Source organism: Homo sapiens, chromosome 18 (assembly GCF_000001405.40).
Source record: "Homo sapiens chromosome 18, GRCh38.p14 Primary Assembly".
Lineage (NCBI taxonomy): Eukaryota > Metazoa > Chordata > Mammalia > Primates > Hominidae > Homo > Homo sapiens.
This window is the reverse complement of record NC_000018.10, coordinates 56272802-56283509: the sequence shown is the minus strand read 5'-3', so window position 1 is coordinate 56283509 and position 10708 is coordinate 56272802. Positions and strand designations below refer to the sequence as shown.

The following is a 10708-nucleotide window of genomic DNA, read 5'->3' as shown; positions in this document are numbered from 1 at the left end:
TTCCTTTGAGCATTAGTTTTACAAGATGTTACATGAAGAAAAGTTTCCAGGATTAGAAATGTTTGGGAAATACTGGATTAATCATATTTTAGTAGATTTCTTTATTTCAGAATTTCTCAGAGACAGTACATATCTCTGCATCCAACAGAATTGTCCTTCCTCTTCCATCTCATCCACTCAAATTTATGCATTTCCCATTTTTGCTTGGCTAGCTCATTTTGTACTCATCATATACCTCCTGCTTTTATTATTTAATGTTCAGTGAACCCATGTTTTAATTGCCCACGAGTTCCTTGCAATTGAGAACCTAAACTTTATTATAGTTTAAGTCTAGTACTGTGTTATATAGATAATAGATACTCAATAAATATTTGTTCATTGACACATCAGTATATGAAAAAGTGATGTGTCTTAGTCTTGTCTTCTGCCCAGATCCCCGAAACAAGCAGTTCCTGAGACAACAATTTGGGTAGAAGTAGTTTATTTTGGAGGTGATACCAAGGAGCCCAGAGAGAGAGTGCAAAATTGAGACAGAGAGTCAGGAAAGCCAATAAAAGTCATACTAATGAATGAACTACGGCTGTGGGAAACTAAAACTCAGTCCTGCTGGGGACCGTCTGACAGATTAGAATACATGCCAGGGTTGTACCACTGAGAGGAGATGAATATGGGTTATTTTCTACCAACTCAGGTCCCTGATTTGTTGAGGCTTCGTCCTGGGGTGTTAGTGGTTCGTACGTCCAGCCTATGGAACAGTATCGCTAGAGAACCCCTCAGGCAGGGAGACACTGGAAGCCATCAGCATGTCCCAGAAACCCTACCTGACCCCTGGGAATATGGGCAGGGCACTAGTAATGACCTCATACCTTATCCAGGAACAGCAGTATTGAACCAGCTTTGCCTATTCCCAGCAGTTAAAAACATGTACTCATTTAACCTTGTAACAATAAATGAGCAGAGTTTTCTTGCCTGGGCTAACACATTAACTCAGGTTTTCCCTGCTTTCAGAACCAGCTGCTACATTTCTCCCCATTGCCTTCATGGAAAGTTGTCCTGTCAGCAATGTCACAATGTGATTTCTTTATCAAAGGTCATTACCGATTATTTTATAAATAACTGATGCTTCAGCAATTATCTGATTTTTACCTTTTTAATATTAGTTTTTCATATTTTATTATTGTCACATGATGGCCTATTTGTCTACAAAGAGGCACATACTAAAACCAGCAACTTTGCCTTCACCTCCCATTATTGTCTTATATTTTCTTTGGCATTTTAACTATGTTCCGGAGAAGGTCATAGCTGGTTAGTTAAAGTGCTCCATCAATGGACACACAGAGATACAAATATATGCACAGCATCCTCCCCAGCTTTTCTGCTGGCCTGCATTCCTCATTCAAACAGCAGGACATGATGGCCTCCTATCCACTTTCATAACCAGCTCCTAGAAGGAAACCTGCTTGATTGTTAATACTGATTGCGCTTCTTGTTGGTAGCCCCAAAGGTCCACCTGTTGACACCTTCCACGACGGCCCAGGGGGGTGCTCCTGTTGCTATTGCCTTGATTGGCATTCTGAGTAGGAGTTTACCTTTTCAATTCTGGCTCTGGAAACATTTTACAGTGGCAAGATTTACCACTTGGCACATTCTGTTTATGAATTTGTCCTCCCTACCCAGATTATCAGTTTCTGGATGCCCCAAACTGCATCTTAGTCTTTCTTCATCTTTCCTTTTTCCATCGTACTGAGTGCTGTGCCTGCCATATGTGGATGCTCAGTGAATATGGATAAATGAGATGAACTGAAAGATGGAAGAAGGGAGTCCTTCCTATACCTTCCCTTTATTGGATGCAGAATTAAGGTGTGGACTAGCTGGATGTCTGGTGGAATGTCTGAGAGTATCACAGTCCCCTTAGATGCATGTCAGCTGGGCCTGAAATTCCCACCATTACCAAATACCACATGTTCTCGCTTATAGGTGGGAGCTAAACATTGGGTACACATGGAAATAAAGATGGGAACAGTAGACATGAGGGACTACTATGGGAGGCGGGAAGGTCAAGAGTACGGGCTGAAAAACTACCTATTGAGCATTATGCTCTTTACTTGGGTGATAGGTTCAATCACATCCCAAACCTTAGCATCATGCAACGTATCTTTGTAACAAAGCTGCACATGTATCCCTGATTCTAAAATAAAAGTTGAGAAACAAAAATAAATAAATGAATAAATTATATAAGAAAAAAGACATTTATGTCTAAAGAAGCTTTTTGTGAAAAGAAGTTTTTTTAAAAAGTAAAGAAACTGGAGAGAAGTGGTGTCTTAACTGCTACCCATTAGCATTAGGTTGAACTTTAGGAAATTGTCATTTTAAAAGATTAAAAAATTGTGGTTTCTACCTAATAGCTTAGCATGAATTAATACATTTATGGGCAGAGGAAGAAATAGGAAATTGAAGTTGTGATGTGGAAAGAGGAAAGCCAAGAACACTGTTTAAAGGAGTCAGGCTTCAGTAGGGGTTGTAAGAAGGGGCATCAGAAAATTGAGTTAAATGGAGGAAGGAGATTATTAAAGACTTGATGCATAGACTGCAAAATTATCTCCTTGAACTCCAAACAGTTGCCTCAGGCCACCCTTGTCACAGCAGGTGAAGGCCTCCAGCAGGTTGCTACACTAAATTATGTCAGGTACATCCTCCTTTCTTTTCTATTTTTGTTTCTTAATATGGGCAGCTCAAGGGTGTGGAGCCATGAGGGAGAGTTGCTCTTCTCAAATAGAGGCCGTCTCTACAGGTACCTATTCCATCCAGATAATTCTTGGTCCCAACTAAATGCTTTTCACTCATGAATATTTACTAGTTGGCATCATAATCCAAACCAAAAACAAATGAATAAAACCTATGTCTATACCCACTTTCACACTTGGGAGTACCTTAAGCCATCTTGAGGAGAAAAAATCCCCACCTCTGCAGTAAATTTTTAAAAATGCAAAGTCTAATCAGAGAAACAAATTCAACTGCCCCAAAGGCCAAACTCAACTAATTCAGGTTTTAACTTTCTAAAACTAATGGGCAATAATGTTTCGGGACCTTGATGTAACCCTTGGTTCATGTGACTCTTGCATTTTAAGAGAATTTTATAAAAAGATCCTGCTGAGCAAGAGAAAGAGTCAGCATGTATCTTAGGTATCAACAAAGAGTACCTCCATTTAATGAGGTGGGTGTGAAAGGGGAGATGTGGGAGTTATACATTTACATAGGGTAGGAAAGAAATAGCACTTTTTAGTACAGCAGGAAGGTGCAACACCCCAAGATGAAATCTGTATTAGTCCATTCCCATGCTGCTAATGAAGACATACTGGGTAATTTATAAAGGAAAGAGCTTTAATTGACTCACAGTTCCACATGGCTAGGGAGGCCTCAGGAAACTTACAATCGTGGTGGAAGGGGAAGTAAACATGTCTTTCTTCACATGGTGGCAGGAAGGAGAAGTGCTAAGCAAAAGAGGAAAAGCCCCTTAAAAAAACCATCAGATCTCATGAGAGCTCACTCACTATCATGAGAACAGCAGCATGGGGGTAACGCCCCCATAATTCAATTACCTCCTACCAGGTCCCTCCCAAGACACATGGGGATTATGGGAACTACAATTTAAGATGAGATTTGGTTGGGGATACAGCCGAACCATATCAATATCTATATGCTAGGATATTTTAATGTTTCCTGTGGTCACTTGCTCTTTCAAAAGACCATGAAACAATTTGTGTGGACTTCTCTATTCTCTCTTGCACCTACTTTGGCAAGTGGAACTCTTCCATTCCATCATAACAAAAAAACAGAAAGATGAGGCATTAGGGCCATTTAGTAATTCAGTAACACACATATTGATATGTGTATGCGATGTAAAGGTCTAGCATGATATAGCAACAAACACTGGCTTCAAGATTCAGCTCCAACACTAACAAGTGGTGAGAAATCAGAAAAATTCCCTAACTCTTGGGGCCTGGATTTTCTCATCTGTAAAATGACTACATTGGACTCAATAGTCTCTATATCCCATCGAATTGTACTATGCTATATTCTAGATTGGGTTGCTGGTGCTGGTCACAGAATTATTTTCATTTCCAGAAAAACATCCTTGTTTAGTATATTTATTGTCATCCCATGAAAGGAGGTAAACATTTCTAAGGAAAATACTGACGAAACAAATAACCAAATAATTATCCTTCTGGCTTCCTATATTACTTTTTTCTTCCCTCTATTGCACCTCAAGATGCAGGGAAGGGAATCAGCAGGAATCTAGGTGGCCCAATACTTTAAATCCATCCTGGTTTTTATTTTATGAAAAGAAGGAAGGGGAAGAGAAGAGGTAAATAAACAGTCATGGCATAACAGAACAAAAAGACCAAATCTTTCTGCTGGGGGAAGGGAGCTCTGGTTCCTTAAAGCTTTAATAAACATTTTGGGAAGGAAATGTCCCTAAGGAAATTTTCTTTCCCTCTTAGAATATCTGGAATAATGTTAACTTTTCTTGTCTTTGTATTCCTTCCTTTGCACTATATCGGAATTGATTCAGAGAAAGGACTGCACTCAGCGTGTAATAAACATCTCCAGGAGAGGTAGGGAGGATGGGCAAAAGCACGAAGGAGATGAAGGAAAATCAATTGCTCGGTGCTGACAACTTCTTCTTGTAATAACAGTATTCTGTCACATTGCATTAGCAGCACTTTGCAATTGTATGTGTTTTTGCTAACAGGCTGTAAAAGTGTAATCATATGAGCACTGAATACATTGTATTAGTGGGAATGATTCAGGGGGATGTGTGCTTTATTATACCAGTATGGTGCATAATGTGTTGCTTACTGAAGTGAGACTTACCATTTTAGTGAAAGAATATTTATTATTTATTTGTTTGTTTGTTGTGGCGTTGGTGCCTTCCAGGGAAAGCTGCGTGTTTCTGTTGGGTGGGGGGAGGATTTTTCTCCCAATCATCTTTCTCTTTCCACTCTGTATGTCTAAGCAACATGACCCTGAAATTGGGATAAAAAATCATTTGGAGTACCAAGTTCCCAACCCTCTGAGAAAGCAATGGCTCTGCTTGGGTTTCCAAACAGCATTTGTAAAGCTAATGTGATTGTTGCTGCAAAGCATCTTCTGCAAGGAAAGTTGAAGGAACAAAAGGGGAGGAAATTCACACTTGTGTGGGAATGACTATGGATTGAAAAGATACACCCCAAAGGATGAGCTGAGAAAAAGGCAGCTAGAATTAGAGACAGCATGAAAGGAGCATGTGGGATCCTTGAGGATGGATTTTTTAGCTTTAAAAAATTTTGCTAGAATTTAACTATTTCCACCCATTGTTGGAATGCATTTTTGGCATTTCTAGATGGAGCCTTTCCTGGCTACCTAGCTCTGAATTTGTGTAATGTGAATTGTCCTGTCACTTATTAGATGCTGATAGCACACTGAATTGTCTCTGTGTGTGTGTGTGTGTGTGTGTGTGTGTGTGTGTGTGTGTGTGTGTGTGTTTGCCTCCTCCATTAAAGAGCCGGTCCTGAAATCCAGGAACTGTGCCTTAGAGAGTTTTTCTCCCTCTCAGGACCTGCCACAATTTTCCTGAGATGTTAAGCAAGCAGTTCTTGCTTTACTGAGCTCAACTAAAATTGACATTTGAATCTGCACTTGCATTTGTTTGCTAAGGCTGCTGTTACACAGTACCACAAACTGGGGGGCCTCAACAACAGAAATGGATTGTCCCATGTCTGGAGGCCAGACTCTCAGATCAAGGTGTCACTAGGTTGGTTCTTTCTGAGCTGTTCCACGTTGTCCCCTAGTTTCTGGTGGTTTGCGGGCGATCTTTGGTGTTCCTAGGTTTGCAGGCACATTGTTCTGATCTCCATCTCCACAGGGTATCTCTCTATGTGTGTGTCTGTCTCCAAATTTGCCCTTTTTCTAAGGACACCAGTCATATTAGATTACCCATCCTACTCCAGTATGACGTTATCTTAGCTAATTATATTCGCAATGAACCTGTTCTCAAATAAGGTCACATTCTGAGATTCTAGGGGCTAGGACTTCCACATAGGAAGTTCAATTCGTAACGTATTCCACCTATGACAATTGTTTACAGTGCACATTTTGAGATCAGTAAGAATTTTCTATACAAATCAGGTGATATCCATTAACTGGCAGTACCTTCCGGCAATCAGGAATATTTTTATGTTTTAACACTGCCACTCACCACAAGGCAAGCATTGTTCCAAATGCTTTCAATGTATTACTTTCTATAATCCTCCCAATATCATTATGGGGTAGTTGCTTCTGTTACCCTCGTTTTACAGATGAGAAAAGTGAGGCACAATGGAAATAAGTAAATTGTTCCAAATGACATGAGAGATTCAGATTTCAAATGTACACAATTGGGCTTATAAATTTCTGGATGTTGCCTTCCAGTTAAATGTTTCATACTCCTTCCTAATTATGATTTGAAAGGTTCCGTACATAGATGCTTCTTCTCTTTATATAGTATTTATATTTATCTTTTATCTTTTCTGACTAGGGCTTTACAACAAAAGAATGTTACAAAGCCTTTTCCAAAGACTTTAGATCAAACAATGCAAAGGAGGCATGACTTTCTTTTGCTAGCTTCAACATGCACAGTTAGCCAGCAGAGCCCAGCTGAGACAGTACCATCCTTTAAAATGGAAATCTCACTGAAGACTCAATAGGGAGCTATTTTAGGACTTCAACACAGGCTGATGGCAGAGGAAGTGAAGCCAGGCATGGGTGGAAATAGGGTGGTGTTGGCTAGAACTTCAAATTGCAGTTCTTTAAAGGGATGTGGTGAGTTTGACCTGTATCACACTCACCTCCAACCGTGAAGTTCACATATGTGTACAGTCACTAATACAAAGATGACTCGTGTGTTGACCAGATAACTGAAGTGATGGATGGGAGTGACGACCAAACCAGTATTGTACAAAAAAGTATTTCTTCCTGAACTTGAAGATCATTTAAAGCTGCCATATTAGGCTCTATTAGTTTTCTTTAATATTTTCTTTTCTGGTTAATACTAATAAGCCCATCCTGGAAGTACCAGATAGATTCCACAAAAAATCACCCTGGTTTTCTTTGTGTTTCTAGCCCTTGCATTTCCACTTGAGTCCAGATGTGGAGCTCTTAGGGTCTGAGAGCTGAGAAAGGGAACCAGGAGCATGGATCACACGCCCTTCAGAAAGGCAGAGACCGCAGGTACTGGAGGCACATCAAAAATATTCACCAAGGAAACATTCTTGATAGTTAGTGCTAGTCACAAGCTCTTCACTGGGCTCCTCCGCTGACTTTTCAGTACATTAATCTTGAGTTCTTCAGGTTCTGAGGACATTAGAATTTACTATAAAGAAGTTAAAAGTGAGAGATATATGCTTTAATTTATACTTTTAGAATTGTCTCATATTCAATTATATGAACTCCATTTGCTTGGCAACAATCTATGCCACATAAAGTTTCTTTTGAGATTTTCCAACACCATTGTTTTATTTTTTTTTCTTTCTTTCTTTTTTTTTGTTGTTGTTGACAGAATCTCCTTCTGTCACCCACACTGGAGTGCAGGGGCACGATCTGGGCTCACTGCAACCTCTGCCTCCTGGGTTCAAGCAATCCTCATGCCTCAGCCTCCTGAGTAGCTGGGACTACAGGCATGTGCCACCATACCTGACTAATTTTTATATTTTTAGTAGAGACAGGGTTTTGCCATGTTGCCCAGGCTGGTCTCGAACTCCTGGCTTCAAGTGATTCTCCCACCTCAGCCTCCTAAGGTGCTGGGATTACAGGCATGAGCCACCATGTCTGGCCTTCAACACCATTCTTTTCTAATGAAGCAACAGGTATTTATTGTACACCTATGTACTACATGATAGGTTCTGTGGGTAAACCAGAAGCACAAAACCAGGGTCCTAACCTCACAAATCGTATATTCTTACTAAAAATAAAAGTCAATAATATATGAAAGTTAAATCTTGTCAGAAGAGATAAATAATACTTCCACATAGAGTTTCTAGAGAAGTTCACCAAGTAATAATGAACAGTACACACAACATATGCTCCAGAAATTAAGAGGAGGGAGTGTAGTTGTAAGCCGGACTTTTCTGGGAAGACATGAAACGGGAAAGCAGAGAGAAGGCCAACTCAAATGTGGCAAAGATTTCATTTCTCACGTTGTTTTCTCCAGAGGATTTTGAACTGGGGGATTTTGAATTGACGTTAATATGGAGAAAAACTTTAGGACAATTATTTTTACAGTCCTTTCAGCTTTTTATAGTTTTTTTTTTTCTACTTTATATTTCATGAGTGATTAGTCTGTCTTTTTTACATGGGTTTTCTTTGGGTCAGAGCCTGCCATAGCTATTAGACCTCTTCTCCAAGTTCACCACTCCACCGGGCAGTTGTGAGCATGGGACCGCTCTTTCCATTCACTTGGAGTGGGGCTCTTAGCAGAGTGGAGGGCTGGACACAGTGGCTAATGCCTGTAAGACTTTGCCAGTAGGTCTGACAAAGCCTCCACTTAATGACGTACTGACATGGTGTGCTAGAAATAAGTGAATTCTGTCATGAGCCTATCTCGTTGCCATTATTTTTCCCCTATAAGAGTAACAATGGTATTTTAATAATCTGCATAAAATTTAATTATAATTCAGTTATCTGATGTCAATAATTTTAGTGCCCTTTAATATAACAAATCTCCAGTGTGAAATATCTAACTAATAAGAGATGACAGGTGGTTATTACGTTGTGAGCCTCACCATCTTTCAGAAACACTAGCTGTGATAAGTTAAATAAACCATCCTTCAACATGAAAAACTCCCTAGGTGGCCCTCAAGGGAAATGCAGACATTGAGTTTCCTAGAACCAAGCAAATGGTGACATCTTTGGTATGAAGAGGGAGGCTGCCAGGAATAACTGATTGCTGTGTATAATTTGAAGCTCTTAACTGTCACTACCTAATTATAGAGGCTGGGAAGCTCAGGTTAGTAGAGTAATAGTAAGGTCAAAGTTTAGTTTATACTGTGTAAGTTTAGTCTTAGTTTGTTCTTGATCCTGACCAGTCATTTTTTTTTTTAATGGGTAGGATTAGTCAAAAAGGCGAATGAGAATAGCTAGATTATTTTGCCTTGACTACTATTGGAAGAAATAGATAAAAATAAATAGCCACTAGCAGTTGACTAATAAAAGGCATTGACATTTGTAAAGAAAAGATGTCATATTATAGAAGAATGTCTATTAAAAAATTTGCGATATTTCTCAGCCAAAAAAAATGTAGATCAGCTCTTTTGGCAGCAAGATCTATGTCTGCTGCTAATTTTTTGGGTGAGTAGCCATCAATCTTATGTTTCCTTGACTCCATTTAGGCATACAGTCTTGAGAGCTGGCTCCACCCACATCTTTCTTGGAAGTGTGCAGCCTTGTATGGAGATTATAGGAGAAAAACAGACACAAGGTACCTTAGGAGGGCCTCAAACATTTGTGCCCCAAATAAGGACTTGCAGGCTTACTTGGTATCTTGGAGCCCTATAAATGGAAGTCAGACTTGGTGGGTGTGTTAGTCTGTTCTCACAGTGCTAATAAATACATACCCGAGATTGGGGAATTTACAAAGGAAAGAGGTTTAGTTGACTCACAGTTCCATATGGCTGGGGAGGCCTCACAATCATGGGTGGGAGATGAAGGAAGAACAAAAGGACATCTTACATGGCTGCATGCAAGAGAGAGCATGTGCAAGGGAACTCCCCTTTATAAAACCATCAGATCTCATGAGACTTATTCACTATCACAAGAACACCACAGGAAAAATCCTCCCCCATGATTCAATTACCTCCCACTGAGTCCCTCTCATGACACATGGGAATTAATGGAGCTACAATTCAAGATGAGATTTGGGTGGAGCCACAGCCAAACCATATCAGTGGGGCATGTGGATGACCTAGAAGCGTAATTATAAAACAACAATGCCACTCAGAGTTTAGGAGAATATTGGAGAGAAAACAGGATCTAATCATCAGAAACCTGGAAGTTAGAGCAACATTTTTTTTGTTTCTTTGCTATGGGAGAAAGACCACTGGAATCCTAGGTCCTGGCTCAGCAGTCAAGCCATAGCAACACAATCATGAAGGCTAAAGGGATTGAAGAATTTGCTCTCTAAAGTTCCATTTCACCTATAAGTTTAGATGAATCTGTGATGCATAAAGTACATTAGGGAGGAATATTTTCATTTTTCATTCATTAAATGTTTTACTAACACTTTCTAGTCATCACCCCAGACTATTTTAACATTTTTACTGTTCCAGCCCATGTTCCCAATCCCCTTGCCGCCATGGCATGCTGATTCCTCTTAGAATGCCTGCCTATCTGTGCTGAATGCCCCACCTTCCAAGGCACAGCACAAATGAAACCTTCACTGTTTCTCTAGATCCTTTGCTATGCAGGCGTCTCAGAAGCCCTAAGGTAGGACACAGTCTGTGTTCCTCTTACTTTTGTACAAGCCCTTTCCTGATTCATCTTTGCAACTCAAACAGCTTCTCGTGTATTTTAAATGTTAAATAAAAATTTTTGAATAGATAAGTGATTGAAGGATAAAGACTGATTTGGATCTGTGAGCAACCTGAACTTTGGAAATTTATTTCAAATTATAGAGACCATGTGAGTTTACTTTCAC

At 39.8% G+C, this 10708-nt stretch overlaps 1 annotated feature.

Moving 5' to 3' along the window:
• Positions 6709–6828: an enhancer, noted in NCBI's record as "active region_13362". NCBI's record gives its function as "activates an Ori minimal core promoter by ATAC-STARR-seq in GM12878 lymphoblastoid cells {active_cell/tissue: GM12878}" and the evidence as "EXISTENCE:reporter gene assay evidence [ECO:0000049][PMID:35858748]".